Below are 23,330 nucleotides of genomic sequence, written 5' to 3' on the forward strand. Positions count from 1 at the left end.
CGCTTCCCGAGTGAGGCAATGCCTCGCCCTGCTTCAGCTCGCGCATGGTGCGCTGCACCCACTGTCCTGTGCCCACTGTCTGGCACTCCCTAGTGAGATGAACCTGGTACCTCAGATGGAAATGCAGAAATCACCTGTCTTCTGCATTGCTCATGCTGGGAGCTGTAGACCGGAGCTGCTCCTATTCAGCCATCCTGTTTTTTATTGTTAAATTTTAAGAGGTCTTTGTATATTTTGGACACAAGTTATTTATCAGATAAGTGTTTTATAAACATTTTCTCCCAGTCTGTGGCTTGTATTTTTTCTCTCAAAATAGTCTTTTTCACAGAAAATAAGTTTTTAATTTTAATGAAGTCCAAAGTATCATTTTTTGTGTGTGGATTATGCTATTAGTATTGCATTTAAAACCTCATCTCCAAACCTAAGGTCATGTAGATTTTTTCTTATGTTTTATTCAAGAAGTTTTACAATTTTGCATTGTACAATTACATTTATTGTCCATTTTGAGTTAATTTTTTTGTGGGGTATATGTGGTTTTGGTGTTAGGGTAACAATAGCCTCCTAGAGTGAAGTAATAAGTATTACTTCTGCTTCAATTTTCTCAATGCTATTGTGGAAAATTGATATCATTTCTCCCTTAAATATTTGGTAAAATTCACTAGTGAAACAATTTGGGTCTGGTTATTGATTCACTTTACTTAATAGACACAGGGCTATTTATATTATTTATATCTCCTTGTGTGAATTTTGGGAGTGTCTATGATGGAATTGGTCCATTTTATCTAAATTGTCAAATTTGTAATCACAGTGTTGTTTGTAGTATTCCTCTCTTATCCTTTCAATGTCCATCCTTTATTTCTGATATTGGTAACTTTTCCTCTTCTCTCTCTTTTTTCTTGGTTAGTCTGGCTAGAAGTTTACCAATTTATTGATTTGTTCAAAGGACCAGCTTTTGGTTTGTTAGTTTTTTCTATTATTTTCCTGTTTTCAATTACATTGATTTCTGCTCTATTTTTTCCTTCTGCTTGCTTTAGGTCTGAATTCCTCTTCTTTTCTTGTTTCCTATGGTTGAATATTAAGTTATTCATTTTAGATATTTTTTATTTTCTACCATATGTAGTTAATGCTATCAAATTTCCTCTAAGCATTGCTTCAGGTACATCCCACACATTTTAATAAGTTGTATTTTTATTTTAATTTAAAGTATTTTTAAATGTTTCTTGTGACATCTTGACTCATGTGTTATATAGATTTGTGTTGTTTAGTCTCCAACTATTTGGTGATTTTCCAAGTATGTTTCTATTATTGATTTCTAATTTAATTCTATTGTGGTCTGAGAACATGCTTTGCATGTTTTCTACTCTTTTAAATTTTGAAATGTGTTTTATGGCTTAGAATGTTGGCTATGTCTGAGAATGTTCCATGTGAGCTTAAGAAGAATGTGTATTCTACTATGGTTGGATGCAGTATTCTATGAATTTCAATAGAGCAAGTTGATTATAATGCTGTTCAGGTAAACTATATTTTGTTGCTATTTCTGCCTGCTTAATCTCTCAATTACTGACAAGGGGTATTAAATTCTCCAAGCATAATAGTGAATTTATCCCTCCTTCAGTTATATGAGTTATTGCCTCATGTATTTTGATGATCTGTTTTTAGATACATACATGTTTAGAATTGTTATATCTTCTTCAAAAATTTACCCATTCATAATTACCCAGTGCTGCTCTTTATCTCTGACAATTCTCCTTGTTTTGAAGTCTGCTTTGGCTGAAGTTAATATTTTCATTCCAGTTTTCTTTCGATTAGTATGGTTTCTCTTTCTCCATTGTCCATTTCTTTAATTTTAGCTTATCGGAGTCTTTATATTTAAAGTGAATTTTATGTAAACAACATATACTTGGGTCTTGCATTTTTATCTGACAATCTCTGTCTTTTAGCTGGTATATTTAGACTACTCATTCCAAGGGATTATTCATATATTTGCTTTAACATCAACCATGTTTGTAGTTGTTTTATGCTTTCCGTTGTTTTAATTAAGTCTCTGTATTGTTCCATTTTATCTCCTCTCTTATTCACTTCTTTTTTTTTTTTTTTTTTTTTTTTTTTTTTTTTTTTTTTTTTTTGAGACGGAGTCTCGCTCTGTCGCCCAGGCTGGAGTGCAGTGGCGGGATCTCGGCTCACTGCAAGCTCCGCCTCCCGGGTTCACGCCATTCTCCTGCCTCAGCCTCCCAAGTAGCTGGGACTACAGGCGCCCGCCACTACGCCCGGCTAATTTTTTTGTATTTTTAGTAGAGACGGGGTTTCACCGTTTTAGCCGGGATGGTCTCGATCTCCTGACCTCGTGATCCGCCCGCCTCGGCCTCCCAAAGTGCTGGGATTACAGGCGTGAGCCACCGCGCCCGGCCTCTTATTCACTTCTTTAAAAAAAAAAAAAAAAAAAAAAACTGTGGTTGCCCTAAAGCTTACAATATACATTTTTAGCTAATCTGATTCCACCTTCAAATTACATGCTTCTGCTTTATGAGTGGTGCAGGTACATTGAAAAAATATTCCCAATTTCTCCCTCCCATCCCTTGTGATGTTGCTGTCATTTAATTTCTTTTATTCTATGTTATAATTACCCAGTACATTCTTACTATTATTAAATTATACAGTTACATTTTAGAATAATAAAAATGAAATATTTTATTCCATTTTCATTGATTCCTTTTTCCAAGATTCTTCATCTCTCTTTCTTTAAATAGACAAGTCTCACTTTGTCACCTAGGCTACAGTGCAGTGGTGTGACCATAGCTCACTGCAGCCTTGACCTCCCAGGCTCAAGTGATCCTCCCACCTCAGCCTCCCAAGTAGCTGGGACTACAGGTGCATGCCACCAGGCCCAGCTAATTTTTTAAAATTATCTGTAGAGATGGGGTCTTGCTATGTTGCCAAGGCTGGTCGCAAACTCCTGGTCTCAAGCAATATTCTTGCTTTGGCCTCCCAAATTGCTGGGGTTACAGGTGTGAGCCACCACACCTGGCTCTCTCTCTATATATATATTCATGTATATGTTGCTTACTGATAGTGATACATTCTGGGGAATTCACCTTTAGGCAATTTCATCGTTGTGGAAACATCACAAAATGTACTTAAACTTAGGTGATATAACCTACTACACCTACTACACATCGAGGGTGTAGGATATAGCCTATTGTTCCTTGACTACAAATCTGCACAGTATGTTAGTGTACTGAATGCTGTAGGCAATTACAACAACATGATGTTTCTATATCTAAACATATATAAACATTTAAAAAGTACAGTGAAACTATGGTACAAAAACTACCATTGGCCCCAATTACTTAATGGGACCCAGCAATCCCATTACTTGCTATATACCCAAAGGAATAGAAATCATTCTACCAAAAAGGCACCAGCATATATATGTTCATTGCAGCACTATACCCAAAGCAAAGACATGGAATCAACCTAGATGTCCATCATTGGTGGACTAGATAAAGAAAATATGGTACATATACATCATGGAATACTACACAGCTATAAAAAACAATGAAATCATGTCCTTTGCAGCAACATGGATGCAACTGGAGGCCATTATCCTAAGTGAATTAACACAGGAACAGAAAACCAAATACTACATGTTCTCACTTATAAGTGGGAGCTGCACTGAGTACATATGGACACAAAGATGGGGACAATAGACACTAGGGTCTACTTGAGGTTGGAGGGTGGCAGGGATAGTGAGGGTCAAAAAGCTACCTATCAGGTACTATGCTCACCACCTGAGTGATGAAATCATTTGTACACCAAAACCCAGTGACACACAATTTACCCCTCTAACAAACCTGCACATGTACCTCCTGAACCTATAAGTTGAAAAGAAAATACAGTATAAAAGATTTTAAAATGGTACACCTGTATAGGACACTCACCATGAATGGAGTTTGCAGGACTGGAAGTTGCTCTGGGTGAGTCAGTGAGTGAGTGGTGCATGATTCTGAAGGCATGGATATTACTATATACTACTGTACACTTGATAAACACTGTACACTTAGGCTACACTAAATTTATGAAAAAGTTATTTTTTCTTCAATAATAAACTAAATCTTAGCTTACTGTAGCTTTTTAACTTGATACACTTTTAATTTTTTTTTTTACTTTTTGGCTGTTCATATAATAATAACATAACTTAAAACATGAACATATTATACAGCTGTTCAAAAATATTTTCTTTCTCTTTATCCTTATTCTATAACCTTTTTTCTATTTTCAAAATTTTTAATTTTTTTACCTTTTAGGCCTTATTGTTAAGAATTAAAACACAAGCACGCACATTATCCTAGGCCTACACAGAGTCAATATCATCAATATCACTGTCTTCCACCTCTTGTCCCACTGGAAGGTTTTTAGGGGCAATAACAGGCATGGAGCTGTCATCTCTTATGATAATAATGACTTCTTCTGGATACTTCCTGAAGGACCTGCCTGAGGCTGTTTTAAGTTAACTTTTTAAAAAATAAGTATAAGGACTATGCTCTAAAATAACAATAAAAGGTATAGTGTAATAAATACATAAACCAGTAACATAGTCTTTTATTACTACTATCAAGTATTATATACTGGTGGCCAGGCACGGTGGCTCACACCTGTAATCCGAGCACTTTGGGAGGCCGAGGCGGGTGGATCACGAGGTCAAGAGATCGAGACCATCCTGGACAATATGGTGAAACCCTGCTCTACTAAAAATACAAAAATTAGCTGGGCATGGTGGTGCGCGTCTGTAGTCCCAGCTACTTGGGAAGCTGAGGCAGGAGAATCGCTTGAACCTGGCAGGCGGAGGTTGCAGTGAGCTGAGATCGTGCCACTGTACTCCAGTCTAGGAACAGAGCAAGACTCTGTCTCAAAAAAAAAAAAGTATTATGTACTCTACATAATTGTACACGATAGACCTTAGTACAACTGGTAACACAGTAGGCTTATTTACACTAGCTTCACTACAAACACATGAGAAATGCATTGTGCTATAACATTAGGATGGCTATGACTTCACTAGGTAATAGGAATTTTTCAATTCCATTATAAGCTTCTGGGACCACCACTGTATATGCAGTCTGTCCTTGACTGATACATCCATATGCAGTACATGCCTGTAGATTCAAGATTCTGACCTATGTTATTTCCTTCTTCCTTAAGAACTTATTTTAACATTTATTGAAGCACAGGTCTGCTGGGGATAAATTCCATCAATATTTGTTTGTCTGAGAAAGTTGTATTTGCTCCTTCACTTTTAAAGGATATTTTCATTGGGTATAGAATGCTAGATTTTTGTTTGTTTGTTTTGATTTGTTTTTTATTTTTAGAGACGGGGTCTTGCTATGTGGGCCAAGCTGGTCTTGAACTCCTGAGCTCAAGAGATCCTCCCACCTCGACCTCCCAAAGTGCTGGGATTACAGGCATGAGCCACCACACCCAGCATACTTTGTTTTTTTAATTAACAATAATTTAAATACTGCATGCCACTCTCTTCTTGCTTTCATGACTTCTGATGATAAATGTGATGTAATTCTTATCTTTACTCTTCTGTTGATATGGTGGTATTTTTCTCTGGCTTCTTTTAAGATTTTTCTTCTTTGTCTTTGATTTTCTGTGGGTTAAATATGATGCACCTAAATGCAGAGCTTTGGTTTTGGGGCTTTGTTTTTATTTATTCTGCCTGATGATCTCTGAACTTCTTGGATTGATGTAGGCCATTAACTTTGGAAAGTTCTCAGATATTATTAGTTTAAATCTTTCTTCTGTTCTGCTGTCTCTTTATTCTTCTAGTATTTCAGTTACATATATATTACATCTTGTGAAATTGCCCTATAGTTCTTGGATGTTCTGTTTTTATTGTTCTTTTTTTCTCTTTGCAATTCAGTTTGGAAGGTTGGTATTGACCTATTTTAAAGTTCACTGATTCTTTCCCCAACCTTGTTACGTTCATTCATGAGTCCATCAAAGGCATTCTTCAGTTATGTTACAGTGCTTTTATTTCTAGCATTTCTTTTGAGTTCTTTCTTAGAATTTCCATCTTTCTGCTTTTACCATCCATCTGTTCTTGTATCTAATCTTGTCTACTTTTTCCATTAGAGCCCTTTACATATTAATCATAGTAATTTTAAATTCCCTATCTGATAATTCCAAAATCTATGTCTCATGAGTCTGGTTCTGATGCTTGCTTTGTTTTTTCAAATAATGTTTTTCTTTCTCTTTGGTATGCCTTGTAATTTTTTGTTGAGTGATGGACATATCATATCAGGTAATAGGAAATGAGGTAAACAGTCCTGTAGTGTGAAGATTTATGTTACTCTGATTAGGAGTTGGGTTTTGTTTAATGTTCTCTATAGCTCCAGGGCCAGAAGCTTTAAATTCCTTAGTTTCTCATGATTTCTATTTCTCTCCCCTTGCCAGAGCCACAAGGGGATCTTTCTCAGTTCTTCACTATGAGAACCTGGTGGGTTTCCTCTAGGTCAAGTTCACAAAAGTGAAAGGGCCCCCTTAAGACCTGGGAATTTCTTCTTCTCATGCTAGTCTTATACTCAGCCTCCAGAGATTTGTCAATTTTACCATTTAAGTGTTTTTTAACATTTAACCAGTTTACAGTTTTCAACTTCTGCTCTAGGTAAGCAGATCTCATCTGTGACTCTCAGTCTCAGCATTCACCTTTCACTACAGACTTTTGGGTGGTGAATTTGCCCTGAAAAGTCAGTTTGCAGTGAAACTCTTGTGAATATACAAATCTACAGTGTCAACCAATACAGTGAACTTAACCAAGAAATTGTTCTAATAATTTTTTTCTGTTCATTAAAGCAGATATTATTCAGGCACTATTTTTAGAAATTTAGTAGGAAAATAATAATTCCTATAAAAACATATGGATGTATATTCAATTTAAATAAATCTAAATGTGCTCAGAGAGAACATTCTTTAAAGAGAAGTTTTATTACTCACCAAAGCCTGAATACAGTTTCCCTTGAGAAAAACCATGGGAATCCTATAAACTAAATGACTTCCAAAGGGCTTACCTGATCATTTCTTTCTTTCCTTTTTTTTTTTTTCTTTGAGACGGAGTCTCGCTCTGTCACCCTGGCTGGAGTGCAGTGGCACAATCTCGGCTCACTGCAACCTCTGCCTCCCAGGTTCAAGCAATTTTCCTGCCTCAGCCTCCTGAGTATCTGGGATTACAGGTGTGCACCACCACGCCCAGCTAATTTTTGTATTTTTAGTAGAGATGGGGTTTCACCATGCTGGTCAAGCTGGTCTCGAACTCCTGACCTCATGATCCGCTCGCCTCAGCCTCCCAAAGTGCTGATATTACAGGCTTGAGACACTGCACCCGGCCTTACCTGATTATTTCTAAGGCTGAATTATAAAAGAAAAAATAATACACTGTTACATATGAAAGGTGCCCCCCTTTAATAAACTAGCTTTAAGTTTATTGTGCCTTTAATTGCCATTTCACTCAATAATAAAATCAAAAGTGATAACAGAGAACAAAAAACAGTAGGCTTTTCCATTTCAGAAAATTTTCTTTTTCTTTGAACCTACTAATGAGTAGGAACTTTGGAATTATTCTGTATATGCACATGAAAAGACACCCTGGAGATGCTGTCTATGAGAGAACAATGGACATCTTGTTGACTTAACTTCCCAAGACTTCAAGGAAGGAATGAGGAATTGAAATTGCTGTTTATTCTCTATTCTATGTATTGGCTTTGAGCCACTGACAATTGAGAAAGTTACATGGATATATAATTTTTTTAATGTCTGTCTCAGCAGAAATAGAAATCAAAAAAGCAAAAGGTAGTCTGTGGGAAATAGACGCTGGGAAGGACACCTCAGGAAGATGAACCATGAACATAGCCCATGTCCACTCACCTGGGTTTCTCCTCTGCGGGCACTCTTTCTTTGCATTCGTTTATCACAAACCTTCTGCTTTCTCTGGTTGGACTCTGGAAAATGTGGCATTATCAAGTAAAATGATTTCTGGAATTTAACTATTCAACTAGAAAAGACCTCAGAGATTTGGGGGAAAAAAATCCCTTACTCATTTCTCAAAAGAGAAGCTGAAGCTCTGCAGGAGATAAATGACCTGCCCAAGATCACACAGTCAGAGCAGATGCAGGCTAACACCCTCTCTCTTTGCTGTCATCTTCTTTAGGAAGAGCAAGCCAAAAGAGAGATCAGAACTGTATGACATCTATGTAGACTTGCCTGATCCTCTAGATTTATTTTATTGGCAAAGAGAGAGGTTAGAGGGAAGCTTGAATCACTTTTCATTTCAGCGTATTCTCTTCAGTTAAGCTGTCCTTTGAGTCATGGGTTGTTTTTCTTTTGGGCCTTTAATTGCCATTACACGGCACATAAAAATAACCCAAGTTCTTAACATGCGTATTTGCAGCAAGAACACTTGATTATATCTCTTCATCAGTCCTACCTGCAGAGGCCACAGGCCTGCGCTCTGCAAGGACTTTTTCTCGCTGGGGCTTTTCTTCTTTGTGTGGGGAGTTAGTGTTTCCCTTGGTGATGGGCCAGGTGTAAACACCCTGCTTATGTAACAAGGCCCCTTTCCTCTGCAGACATGATGAGCTCTGAGGCTCTATGGCAAGACAGTGACCGCACTAACCATCCTTTGGCTGGGGTGACAGTCAGGCAGTCTCTCTATCAAGATGCTCCCAGCTCCCAGGTGATCCTGTCCCAGGACCCCAATTCAAGAGCTGGCTTTCCCTGTTTATTGCATTTGGAATCTTTCTCCTTATGGGTTTGGATGTGTCCAGCTTTTATCTTGGAAATTTTTCCGCTCTGCAGTCAATCCTCTCTCCAACTCAGTTAGTATGTGCTTTCTGCATCACCATTATTCCCTTGCTCGGCGTTTACCTCATTTTTACCTTTCTTGCTCACTTTCACTTCCTTTTAATTCTCTCACTGTTAAATTCTTTTTTAAGCTTCCCATAACCAAAATTACCATTTATTAATATTTCTCCCAGGGTCCCTTCTGCTGGCCCCTGACTGAATCCTCCTTGCTTCCTATTAACAATGCCTCCGCGCATTTCAACGTCATCTGATAGCACAAAATTACAAGCTCTTTGACACTCAAGTATTTTTTTTTTTAAATAAGACTACTTAATGAATTTTGCCTATTGCTAGACATAGAATCTGCCTGAAAAATACCAGGAAAATAAGATGAGGATGTCACTTAGCAACAAATGCCCCCTAAATTATGAACTTCAAAGAAATATTGCTTACTTTGACAATGGTTAAGCGATGCATCTGGAATCAAAGACTTAAGAAATTCCCCACCTCTGACATCAATAAGAAAAGGCTCAGGCTTCACACCTGTTGTTCCCTCTACATGGAAGGCTCTTTCTTCCACTCATGGCCTCACTATTTCCTGCTCAGACTTCAAGTGGTGAATGAATATCACTTCTTCAGGGAACTATGCCCTGACCCTCCAGTCTAAATTATATTCTTTGATTTGATCCTCACATCTGTAGCCCAAACTTCTCATCTGAATTTCCTGCTCTGATATCCAGCTGTCTGTTTGATGTCTCCATCAGGTGTCATAGACATCTTAAACTTAGCAAGTACAAACTGAATCCTTCATTTTTCTCCCTCGCACCTGTTTATACCCTGGTGTTCCCTATTTCAGTAAATGTTCTAGGTAAATGTTAACTATTTACCTAGTTACTCAAACCAGAAACCTTGGAGTCTGTCTTAGGTTGGGTTTCTTAGACACAGAGGCTCAGAAGGGGACTTCTGTCCAATTGATGCATTGCAAGGGAGCCCTCAGGAAACACCAGGCTATGCAGGAAGCCAGACAAGGCAGAAGCAAGAACGTGGCAAAAGACATGGGTGCAGCTGGAATCTAGCATCAACCTGATGCCATGGACATCTGTGGAGCATGAGCAACACAAGAGTTGGCTTACTTTGAGACAAGAAAATGGGGCTTTGTTACTCTGGTCTCAGTGAGTCATTGGTTACAAGCTTCCCACTCCCACCACTTTTCTAGGTGAGTATGCTCCATTGCCTGAGGTCAGAGAAGGAGGACGCTGGGAGCCATTAGCAAGCAACACTCATACCCACTGGGGATAGAGGCACCAGCATGGTGAAGGGGCCTGCATGGAGTCCTGACAGACCTGACTGTACCATCCTGAACTCCATTCTCTCTCTCACTGAACCACCCTCCATCCCACCAACATCACCTTAGTCCAAACCAGCTTCTCCACCTTGACTACTGTGCATTCTCTTGTCAATAGTTGTACTCCTCCTCCCTCCCACAAGAAGTAAGAAATAAAAGGATTAAGGTTGCTTTCTGAGATATAAGCTATAAGACCAATCAGAAAAGAAAAGTGGAAAGTCGCACTTGTAGGAGCAGAATGGCTTCCCTCTGCAAACTCAGACTGATCAGGTTAAGTGGACAAGCACACCCAAAGAAAGACCATTCCAAAGGAGCAGTTGTTCCTACAACTGGAAGCTACGCAAAGGGGAATAAGGGAGGGATGCACTGAGAGAGACCCCAGAAGTGTCAGTCAATGAATATCAATAATTCACATCCGATTGACAAGATAGAAATTCAAACCTCATTTTGACCTGCTGCTATTCAAGTCATCAACTCAAATCTCTCACTCCTTTGTTCTGATTCTGTGCTCACCAAGTATCTGGAAAGCATAGAGAATTTGAGTAGTTCTACGTCAGTGAAGTTTTTTTTCTCACTGCAAATAATAAATGGGCATTCCAGCCTCATACATCAGTATCTTGATTCAAAAAAGCCAGCCAGTGGTGAGTTTCACAGCCTGCATGTCTAAGAGCCAAGACCCTGGACCATGACACATTTACCAAGTTGTATGAAAGATTGCATTTTCAAAAAAAAAGAAAAGAAAAGAAAAGAAAAGATAAAATGGCCACAGCAAGATCTCTGGTTCCACATGGTCTTCCAGAACTTTTCCATTCCTCCATCAAGAAATGAGAGTCCATTTCCTCTCCTCTTGAATCTGTGTGGGCTTTCAAGACTGCTTTCATGAATAGAGTACAGCACAAGTGATTCTGTCTAAATAAAGGCTAGAAAGCAATATGGCTTCCACTTGGCCCTCGCTCTTTTGGGATGTTTACCTTTTGAATTTGTCGCCATGTTACAAGAAAGTACAGGACAAGGATATGAGTAGGTGTCCTGGAAGAGAGCCCCAACTAAAATCCTAGCCACCAGCTACCATCAACTGCCAATCATGTGAGTGAAAGAGTCTTCATATGATTATAGCCCCAAGCTTATAGCTACCCAATGGATGGGGAGTGTAGAACAGATGAACTGTCCTCACCTAGCCATAGCCAAATTGCAGATTCATGAGAAAAATAAATGCTGTTGTTGATTTAAGCCACTAAGTTTTGGGGTGGTTTTCATGTGACAATAGATAAACAGACAGAAAGCAGCCTGTCTAATATTAGCAGATGGGCCTAACATTGCCATGCAACTACACGAATCTTTTTATTCATTCTTTATGTTCCTAGTTACTATGGTTCTTGGTTTCCACTCTCTGACATGGGATATTCATACCTGCTCAAGACTAGTCTTACATGCTGGTTGACTCTACTCATTCCTGTGGCTCCTGTGCCCAAATATGAAACCTGGCACCATCTATAGCCTTGCCTGGGTTCTTCTCTCATGCTCCATTTTATTAATTTATGCATATTCCTGAGTACAACTTTTCTATTTATCCTCATTCCCTTGATGATTTCACTCAGTCACATAGATTTAATACCATTTTTATGCTGTAGACTGTAACATTTTTATCCCCAGCCTGAATCTTACCCTGAACCCAAAACCATACTGCTTACTGGATCTCTACACCTAGATGAATAACGGACAGCTCAAACTTAGTTTCCAAAACTGACCTCTTGATCTCCTACCACCCCAAAAATGTTTCCCTCAATCTTTCTCATCTCAGTAAACGGCAAGTCCATATTTCCAGATTGAAAATCCTAGACTCATACTCTCTACCTCCAAGCTACCAGAAAGTCTTCCATAGCATTATCTTTAAAATATGTTCGGAATCTAACCACTTCATATCACCTTCTTGGTCACCATCCTGACCCAAGCTACTATCATCCCCCACCTAGATTATTGACATTGCCTCTCAGGTGGCCTCCTTGCCTTCATCTTTGCCCCCCACGCTGTGATCTATTTCCATCGCAGTGGTCTGATCACACTTCTTCAACCAAATCCTACCTTACTAAGGATTAAAGCTAAAGACTTTTTAATGGCAAATAAGTTATTACATGATCTAGCTCCCTATTTTCCCTCAGACCTTATCTCTTACCACTTTCTTTCTAGATGACTATGCTGAAACCACACTGACCTTCTTGCTGCTCTTCAAATATGTTCTGCTGCTTTCCACCTGAGAACTTTTGCATTTGCTCTTTCCTCTACTGGAAATGCTTTCTCCCCATGTATCCACATGGATCAAACCAGGAATGCTGTCTCCCCATTTGTCCACATGGATCAAACCTTCTCCTCAAGGCTTTGCTCAATATCACCTTTAGGGCTTTGCTCAATATCACCTTCTTAATGAGGCCTTTCCTAACCATCCTTCCTGAAATTGCACTTGCAGCCCAGCCTATCCATGCCCCACCCCTACTTTACTTTTCTCAAGGGTCCCAACCACCATCTGACAGTCTGTATGTTGTATTTGTTTGTTTATTACCTGACTCCACGTGCTACTATATAAGTTCCACAAGACAGGGAGTTTTATGTATTTTGTCCACTATTGTGTCCCCATGGCCTAGAACAGTGTCTGGTATATAGCATACTCTCAGTAAATGTTTGTTGAATGAATTAACTGTTGCCCAATACTGATGACTTCCAGATTTCCAGCTACAGCCAAAAACACTCTTACATTTTAGACCTACATATCCAGCCACCTAATAAACATCTCAAATTTGAAGTTCCAAAGGCACTTTAAACGTTACAAGATCAAAACTGAACTTGTCTTCTCTGTTTTAGATCTGCTTCTATCACTGTATTCACTCTGTGAGTGAATGATGTCACCCTCTGCCAAGTTTCTCAAACCAGAAACCTTGGAGTCCATGCCAACAACCACACTGTCTCTACTCCCCTCATCCAATTGGGTGCTAAGAACCTGTCTTTTGAATCATCTTCTCTCACTGCTCTGCTTTAATCATTTCTCACCTAAATAATTACAGAGGCTTCCTCCAAAGCACACTCTTGGTCCACAGGATTGCCCCTTCTGCTACCCTTCCAAGTATCTCCACAGTGATATAACTTAAAGGCAATATAATCAAACCATCTCTCTCTTCAGAAGTCATGACTGGCTCCTCCATCTTCTAGATATTTAAGCCTGCAATTATTAGCATGGGGTTAAGGGGATCATCTTTCTATTCTAGCCTGATCTTCTGTCCCCTTCCCTTTTCAGTACTCCCACCTGGCTGCACTCTTTTAGGTTTCCCAAGCACAACCCTCCTTCCCAGGCTGCCTTTATTTCTGCATTCTCCCCATCTGTCTAAAAAAGCCCAGATCATATGTCACATCTTTAAGAACGTTAACTCTCCCACCATGGAATATCAATGGCTCTTTATCTGTACCTTCCTTTAGGTACTCACTGTCATGGCTGTTCCTGTGTTCCTCGGGTCAGGGAGACAGATCCTCCACTTTCTCTCAGAGTGCCCTGACCCCAGCCAATGCTGTGACCTTGAATAAATGGGAGCTCAGTGAGAACCTATGAAATGAATGAATGACCTCCACAGTCCCAGGCATTGAATTCCATGCAGCTACTTTTAGTCACCAAATCTATCTTACCAGTCCCACTTTTTATCTCATTCTGTTCCCTCTCTCCATTCATTTAAAGAGTACTAGCATTACACTATGCAGTTTGCATCCAAAGAATCACAGGAGGTTCAGACAATATAAGAAACCAATTGCATCTGAATCCTCAGAACAAAATATTCATCCATTTAGAGTCAAGTTGGAAGGTCAAGTCTCTCTCTCACACACATATACATATGTGTATACAAATTATATAATAATATAGGTGTGTGTGTGTGTGTGTGTGTGTGTGTGTATGTATTACATGAGCCAATTGAGTTTATGTAATTATGAATGCAGGCAAATCCCAGGATCTGCAGTATGAGTTCGAAAGCTGGAGACCCTGGAGAGTCAAAGGTTTAGTTCCAGTCTGAAGGCCAGGAAGCTCAAGACTCAGGAGGAGCTGCGGTTTCAGTTCAAGTCCAGAAGCAGGAAAATTTCTCTTACTTGGGAGAAGATTTGCCTTTTGTTCTACTCAGGCTTTCAATTGATTTGATGAGACCCACCCACATGAGGGAGGACAATCTCCTTTCCTCAATCTGCTGGTTTAAATGTGAGTAGTAATACCCAAAAACATCTTCACAGAAATGCCTGTAACGATGTTTACCAAATATCTGGGCACCATGGCTCAGCCAAGTGGACACACAAACTGTCACAGAGGGCAAGTGTACTACACTCCTTGGATCCCTTTTTACTAGTTTTGTGAGCCCTTCCCTTGGCTTCCTAGTGTTTGGGTTCCAATGGCTTGCATCTGTGCCTCTCTTCAAGGCACTCCCTGAGACTACTGGCACCACACTGCACACATGGAGCAGAAAGGCAGCAAGCACAGAGAGCAGGGGGTTCCATGGAAATTATCTTCCTCACGGTAGCCCTGGCTGATGACTGACTAACTGATGGTGCAGGAATATGGAAGCCCAGCACCCTTATTTCCAGTTGGGACTTTATTCACTCACTTACTGTGTCCTTCTGGGATTTTTTTTAATATATATAAAACATTGCACATGAATTCTTATTTCAGGTTCTGTTTCTTATGGAAACTGGCCTAAGTAAGCAACCTTTCTCATAGTACCTTGTTGGCTTTGATAAGTGTTGTTTTTTTCTTCCTGAAGTCAATCCCTACTCAGAGTTCAAGGAGACCATCTAAAATTTCCTAAAGCTTTTGCATCATCAAGTGGTCTATTAAAAGCCTCCTTTCTGTTTGGAATCACTAAGAAGCAAACTTCTGAGTTAGGAAAGTGTGAGCTCTGGAATCACACCTAGTTCTGGTCTCCTGTGGGCACACAAAAAAAAGAGTCAACCTTGCTGCAATGTCCTGAGGGGAAGATATTGCCTTTCCTTCAAACCTTCCAGAATGAGAATTTGGAGCAGCCTGCCATTTGCTGAACTGCATGCTTTACTGTAAAATGAGAGCACAGGAAGAAACCAGCTCTAATAATAATAAGATCCATTTAGCATTTAATCTACACACATGCTGATTTATATTATAATTGCAAGTTGCTAGAGAGGTATGTCTCCCTTCCCAGAGCCCCCAGTGACTGCAAAAGGTAATTACCAAAATGGCACAAGTCTGCTTATCATGTGGAAGCCTCATGTTTTTTGAAATAACTTAACCCTGGGTGTCACTGAGCTTTCCCTGAAGAGAATTGGGAGCAGGAAATCCACTTCAATGAGTGAGATATTCCTTTTTCTTCTTGTAATATATGAACTTATTTTAATCACTTTTCTGCTTTTTTCAGTACAAGTAGGTAACCAGGAGAGTGGGAAATATAGTCCTTTAAAAAACCTGATGATAAACACTGTCAAAGAAAGTCCTTTAGAAAATGGCTGCAGGATGTTCTTGTTTGTTTTGTTTTGTTTTTGATACGGAGTCTCACTGTGTTGCCCAGGCTAGAGTGCAGTGGTGCAATCTCGGCCTCCTGAGTAGCTGGGATTACAGGCACCCACTACCACGCCCGGCTAATCTTTGTATTTTTAGTAGAGATGGGGTTTCACCATGTTGCTCAGGCTGGTCTTGAACTCTTGGCCTCTGGTGATCCACCCGCCTAGGCCTCCCAAAGTGCTGGGATTACAGGTGTGAGCCACCACGCCCGGCCAGTATGTTCTTGAAACCAAGGCATTTCAGGGTATTTTCTGCTACTCGAGAATTCTGGCCATCAGGCTATGGAACGTTGAGCATGGTTGCACACACTCACATGCACTCACGCGTACACACACTTTCATAGAGTTATTACTTTTTTAAAGTCTAATGCCTAGAGTGGTCTGGAATGAATGCTGACATACTGTGAGAAATAAAGAATGAGACCGGACCCACGAGTAACCAAATGAGCATTTCACCAGTCAGAGTGAGTGACCAAAGGACAGCTAAGACCGTTGCATTCCACCTTCCCCTCTGGCCAAGTTTGCTTCCCAATCTAAGTTTGGCTTCTCGGTCTTCCCTGACCTTCACTATCAAACCAAGTCTTCACAGGAGATGAAACACCTTTCTGTGAAACACAGTAGATGTTCACCAGGTAGATGCAGGGAGAGGGATTGCCAGCCAAAGCAGCAGCAATGAAGTCACGGGGCTGGGAATGGAGCCACATGTTGGGGAGTTATAATTAGTTCATTACTCTAAAAAATAGAGTTACTCAACTCAAAAAAAAAATAAGGATGGACAGATAGACCAAGTTCACCTCAAGAGGAATTCATATGTTAGGTAGGAGTTTGAAATTAAATAGCTATCAAAGGTTTCAATCAAGGAGGTGATACGATTCCATGATGTTGATAGAAGCTCATTTGGGCAGCAGTGTGGACAATGACCAGATGGATCAGTAATGGAGGCAAAAACACTAGACAGAGCTGTTGTGATGTAAGTGTCCAGGTCAGAGGGTAAGAGCCAAAATATAGGATGAGAAGAGAGGGTGGATCACAGTCCCATTGGTTGGTAGAACTGGCAGGAAGAAAGGGTTTCTAGTGGATATGTCATTGTGCGTACACATGGTGCTGTGGCAGTCGTCTACAAAGCCGGTCTCCTGGGACCTGTCCTCATCTCTGAAATGAGGGCCAGTTTTGTTATGGGTGCTCACTAATTACTTGCTAACTCATTTGATCTGACATTCATCCCTCATCTCAACCATTCTTCAGGAGATGCCCTTACAGTCAGTAAAATGATGAAACAGCGAATAATGTAACTTCAGTGAGTCTCCTAATTTTTTTGAATCTCCGTTTCTACATTTATAAAAGGAGGCTAAGCAAGAATCCTTACTGATCGCTTCCAGCTCAAGTACTCCAAGTCAGCCAGTTCTCAGGAGAGTGAGCTGGCAGCTGCCTCCTGGGGGAATATTGTTGGAATTCTTGAGAGATGATCAGGCTGGGGGAGCATCTCCCCACAGCTCCCCTCCAAACCCAGGGTTAACCAAGAGACAGCTACACTTAAGAACTGTATTTGTATTATTCACAGGCACTGAAACAGTCATTGTTTTGGCAATTCCCTTTAGTGGAGGAAATAAAATGAGCCATATTGTGGGGAAGGTGGGGCTGTGTTTCCAAGGTAAGCTTGCTGGTAGTATAAAATTGTGTTTTTATTTAAAGTGAATTTCCAGTTGGCTGAATTTATGCTGCCTTTGATGCCTACTCAGTGCTTTGAATACAACCTGCTTGTCCTCGCTTTGTTTTCCCCACGCCCTGAGAGGGGATCCCTAGATTGCTGATTAAAAGCTATTCAGCAACAGCCTGCAAGTGCTACACCGATAACATTATCTTTACTGATTCATCAGGGCTGCCCTGGTGCAGGTGGGAGACTGTGGCTGAGTCTCTCCAGACAAGTGTTGTCAGCTCTGGCTTGAGCCTTCAGAATCTTGTGGACAAAGAACCTTAAGGGAGGACAGAAAGTTTCCGAGGGCGGTCTTGTCCCAGACTTCACCCTTGCTTGAATCACCTTCCCATTTTGTACTTGGCTCACCAGAGCACTGCTTTCCCTTGTCAATTCCGTGAAGTGAGTAGGAGGCTCTATGGTGAACACTGTGTGCTCCTGCTTTGAAAGAGAAAGAAGTGAGAGGTTCTGTACAGTTCTGCAGGGATTTCAAAGCTAACACTTGATGACTGTGTTAAGGGAAGGCAGGGCTCACATGCAAGTGAGCCCTCAGGGCTAGAATTTCCCTTGATCGAAGTGCTGGCCTGAAAAGACCACTGGACTCAGAAGCTTTGCTTCCAACTTCATAGCTCCTTCATCTATAAAATCATGGAGAAACATTACTTAATCTCCACTACCTCTTACAGGTCTGAGTCTTTTAGAAGCATACCCCTAGTAATTAATAGTCCTCGTTCTTGATTGGTGAAGTGAGCACAGAAGCCAAGGGAGAAATACATGAGTGCCCTTGGGTCCTTCTACCTCCATGCTTTAATCATGCTCATGGATAGGAAGAATCAATATCGTGAAAATGGCCATACTGCCAAAGTAATTTATAGATTCAGTGCTATCCCCATCAAGCTGCTATTGACTTTCTTCACAGAATTAGAAAAAACTACTTTAAATGTTATATGGAACAAAAAAAGAGCCTGTATAGCCAAGACAATCCTAAGCAAAAAGAACAAAGCTGTGAGCATCATGCCACCAGACTTCCAACTATACTACAAGGCTACAGTAACCAAAAGAGCATGGTACTGGTACCAAAACAGATATATAGACCAATGGAACAGAACAGAGGCCTCAGAATGTCACACATCTGCAACCATCTGATCTTTGATCAACTTGACAAAAACAAGCAATGGGGAAAGGATTCCCTATTTAATAAATGATGTTGGGAAAACTGGCTAGCCATATGCAGAAAACTGAAACTGGATCCCTTCTTTACACCTTATACAAAAATCAACTCAATATGCATTAAAGACTTAAACATGAGACCTAATACCATAAAAACCCTAGAAGAAAACCTAGGCAATACCATTCAGGACATAGGCATGGGCAAAGATTTCATGACTAAAACATGAAAAGCAATGGCGACAAAAGCCAAAAGTGACAAATGGGATCTAATTAAACTGAAGAGCTTCTGCACAGCAAAAGAAAATGTCATCAGAATGAACAGACAACCTACAGAATGGGAGAAAATTTTTGCAGGTGGATATCTGACAAAGGGCTAATATCCAGAATCTATAAGAACTTAAACAAATTTATAAGAAAAAAACAAACAACCCCATCAAAAAGTGGGCAAAGGATATGAACAGACACTTCGCAGAAGAAGACATTTATGCAATCAACAAACATGAAGAAAAGCTCATCATCATTGGTCATTAGAGAAAATCAAAATCAAAATCAAATGAGATACCATCTCATTTGAAATCAAAACCACAATGAGATACCATCTCACACCAGTTAGAATGGTAATCATTAAAAAGTCAGGAAACAACAGATGCTGGAGAGGATATGGAGAAATAGAAACACCTTTACATTGTTGGTGGGAGTGTAAATTAGTTCAACCATTGTGCAAGACAGTGTGGCAATTCCTCAAGGATCTAGAACCAGAAATACCATTTGACCCAGCAATGTCATTACTGGGTATATACCCAAAAGATTATAAATCATTCTACTATAAAGACACATGCACACGTATGTTTATTGTGACACTATTCACAATAGCAAAGACTTGGAACCAACCCAAATGCCCATCAGTGATAGACTGGATAAAGGAAATGTGGCACATATACACCATGGAATACCATGCAGCCATGAAAAAGGATGAGTTCATGTCCTTTGCAGGGACATGGATGAAGCTGGAAATCATCATTCTCAGCTAACTAACACAGGAACAGAAAACCAAACACTGCACGTTCTCACTCATAAGTGGGAGTGGAACAATATGAACACATGGACACAGGGAGGGAAACATCACACACTGGGACCTGTCGGGGGTAGGGGGCTAGGGGAGGGATAGCATTAGGAGAAATACCTAATGTAGATGACAGGTTGATAGGTGGAGCAAACCACCATTGCACATGTATACCTATGTAAAAAACCTGCATGTTCCGCACATGTATCCCAGAACTTAAAGTATAATTTTTTTGAAAAAAGAGCTCTCTAAGGTGCTGAGGAGCTGGAGGAACCAAAATAATTTATCTTGCAAACAGGGAAACTTCAGAAAATGAAAAGTTGTGCTCTTAATATTTCCGCCAGGACAACAGGCCTGAACTAGAACAACGCAATGAACAGTGTCTTTGAGTACAAAACTGCTTATTACTAATATATGAACATTCTCACTGAGGCTTCTTCACAGTTTGTACCTGAAGAACAGAAATGATGATTACATGGAGAACCTTGTTCTGACCCCTAAGATGAAGTGGGTGGGTTTTGATTTCTTGTTACCAAGGTAACCTCTTTCAATGAGCCTTGAAAAGATAATTACTCAGTGTGAAGACTTTTGCTTTGCATGGCACACCAATACAGTTCACAGACAATCATTTACATAAGAAACAACCGGCACACACAGATTCACCTTGATTTTATGAAGTGCAACTATTCGGAGCATAAACATATATCTATAAAAGAACTTAATCAGCATTAATTTATAAGTATCTCATCTTAACATTTAAGATAAGTTTTTAGAGCTCTAAGGATTCAAAACAACAAGCTTGCCCAATTTCCCCATTTTATAAATGATACCGGGGCCTAAAAATTAAATTATAAGCCCAATAATCTCAGAGCATATTAACAGCAGAAATGGGACTAAAAATTAGGTTTCCTGACTCCTGGTCCAGTGTTCTTCTCATCACTTTGTGTATTTTTTATAGCTCTCCACCAATGAGGCAGACTATATTTTTAAAATATTATTTTTAGTTATTTCAGGTAGAAATTAGTAATTGACAACACTTCAAAAATAAAGAGAAGCTCAAATTACAATAAAATATCATGTAGTCTTTCCATCCATAAATAGCCATGTTAATTTTCCATATACATCCAGGCACCTTTCTACAGATGGATCCTATATTTTTAAAAAAGGAAGAGAGATCACATTGTACTGTATTTTAACCTACTTTTTTCCTTTAATATTTTATTGTAAATATGAGTTCCATGTCATTAAACTTGCATTTGTGGCAGCATCTTGCTGACATAGTTTATTTCCCATCGCAGTAAATTTTACACATGCAGACTCAGTGAAATTGAATCTCAAATTGGGCCTACCCTGAATTTTTTATGCCCAAAAGTCAGCCTCAATTTGCTCCAGACACAACTCTAGTAAATCTTGGAATCCAAAAAGAGAAAAACTGTCTTAGTCACGGCCTAAGGAAAAACAGTGAAACCCACAGCTCTTAGACAGCGGGAAAATTGCTCAGTGCTGTTTATAAGAGAAATGCATATTAAAATTGCAATTACCGTTTTTCTATTATTAAATTGGAAAAGGTCAACAAGCCTGACAACACATTGTATGAGAGAGCACGCAGCGTGGGGGGAAATCAGCACTCTTATGTATTGCTGTGGGAAAAAAAATCAATACAGCCTCTATGGAGAGAAACTGAGCAAAATCTATTAACATTACAAGTACAAACATCCTTCAATTCAGCAATATCTTTCTAATTCTAGGAAATATTACTCATATTTATCTTCCAAAGTGCAAAATGATATGTGCTTGAAGTTAATGATTGCATCACAGTTTCTAATCAAGAAAGACTGAAATTATCTTAAATACCTATAAATAGGGGATTGGTGGGCTTATCCATAGAATGCAAAACCATGTAGCCACAAAGAATGTGGCCTTTTGCATACTCATATAAGGCAAATTCCAAGAATTAATGTTAAGTGGGAAAAGTAGAAAAGCAGGAAAATGCACAGTGTGTTGCCATTTATGTAAGATAAGAAACGCATTAAATATCTCAAGAATACACAAGAGTCTCCTTTGTCATCCAGAATCTTGGGCACCATGGAAACTGATATCCTTGAACACGCAGAAACTTGGGTTCAAGTTTTGGCAAATCTCTACTGATTAGCAGCAAACAAGTTGTGTTTCTCATGTCACTTTTGTTGTTTATTGTTTATACAATAGTCTGCCTTTTCTCTTCTCTCTCCTTTTTCCCTCCTATGGGTGGCTGCTTTCCTCATCAAGGAGATTGGTCAAATTCAATAGTGTTTAATAAAAGCTAGAAAGTGGTAATTTCTGTGTGAGCATAAGACTGTGATTCTCCAGTTCAACACTTGCATTTGTCCTTTTATAAACAAACCTTTTGACCTGAGCCCTAAATTAGCCCACCGGGCTCCAAACAAATAACGAGGTTGAAAACAAAGGGGAGGTTACTGTCATAATCTTCTCAATTGCTGCTCATTACTGGACATCAGGGACTTGGACAAATATGTTCTGCAGATAGAGATTGAGTAACTGAGACTGGAACCCTGGACTTAGAACCTTGCTACATCCTGGGGATAATGAGCCAAGTGCCTTCCCTAATGCCTTTCATAGCCACACATAGATGTTTTCCAAGCATGTTCTGAACTTTAAAGTGTAAAGCGTTAGGTCTCCTGTTATAAGAAAGAATCCAACTGGCTGCAGCCAGTGACTGTCAGCTCCGTTCTGCAAAAGGATGGTCCATGAGTCAGGGCATCAGGCCTGTTGCTATCCTTCTCTAGTTATCATGGCTTTGTCTGCTTTCTTTACATCATCATTCTTGTAGCACATAATTTGATGTCTTCCACACTTTCATATCTTGTGCTAGAAGTATAAGAAAAACAGATTATACCTTTAGATAGCTCCGCCAGCTTTTCAGAGCTTTAGTGATCTTGAAGTCTATTCTGTTTGATTTTTTAAAAAAATGTTTGTACTTCTATGTGTCCATGAATTGCTGAGGGCAAGAAACTCAAAACCCAAGTTCTCCCAGATAAAGGTTCGCATTATTCTTTGTGCCACCTGATGTCCTGGCAGATACTGTCAGGATCCCTTTCATAACCTCACAGCACTCACCTTTACAAAATGAAAGCAAATACCAGTGATTCTCTGCCTGAGAAGTTTCTCTTGCCTGTGTATAAGGAAAACCAAAGCGTCAGTTATCTCCAGAAGCGGTCTCTAACCAATGATGAACAGGAAGTTGGGTCCTAACGATCTCAGTTTCCTCATTCTTCATTTGTGATTACTTAGGCATGTTCTACACCATCTCCCAGAGTTCTCCACTGAATTACACTCCAGTTGTCCAAAGTGGGAACCTGCTGGATCATACACATTTTTACAAATGCAGCAGAGATGAATGAGATAGTGAGAGTTTCCTTTCCAGTAATGAGATAATAAAATATCAGAAGAAATCCTAGTTAATAATACACATCTCAACCAATACTGGATTTTTTAAGCAATTTTTTTGTAAAATCTATGGACAAACTAGCCAGTGAAAAAATAAGACAATTCCTTAAAAAGTGGAAATAAAGAAAAAGCCAAATTCAAAGAAGTAAACAGTGCTGGAACTAGCATTCTCTCTATGTGTCTCTGATCTCAGGCACTCTCAACCTTGAATTTTAGTGAGA

General features: G+C 39.6%; 1 long non-coding RNA gene across 2 annotated transcripts in view; it reads left to right on the top strand.

Moving 5' to 3' along the window:
* The first annotated feature begins 1,456 nt into the window (after positions 1–1,456).
* LOC105372544 (uncharacterized) overlaps positions 1,457–23,330 on the top strand; it is a 74,761-nt gene continuing 52,887 nt past the window's right edge. For both annotated transcript variants that reach the window (XR_937289.1, XR_937288.2), the window contains exons 1-2: positions 1,457–1,513; positions 14,159–14,411. This is a non-coding gene — a long non-coding RNA (uncharacterized LOC105372544). The remainder of the gene's footprint in view (positions 1,514–14,158; positions 14,412–23,330) is intronic.

Source organism: Homo sapiens, chromosome 20, assembly GCF_000001405.40.
Source record: "Homo sapiens chromosome 20, GRCh38.p14 Primary Assembly".
Taxonomy (NCBI): Eukaryota; Metazoa; Chordata; class Mammalia; order Primates; family Hominidae; genus Homo; species Homo sapiens.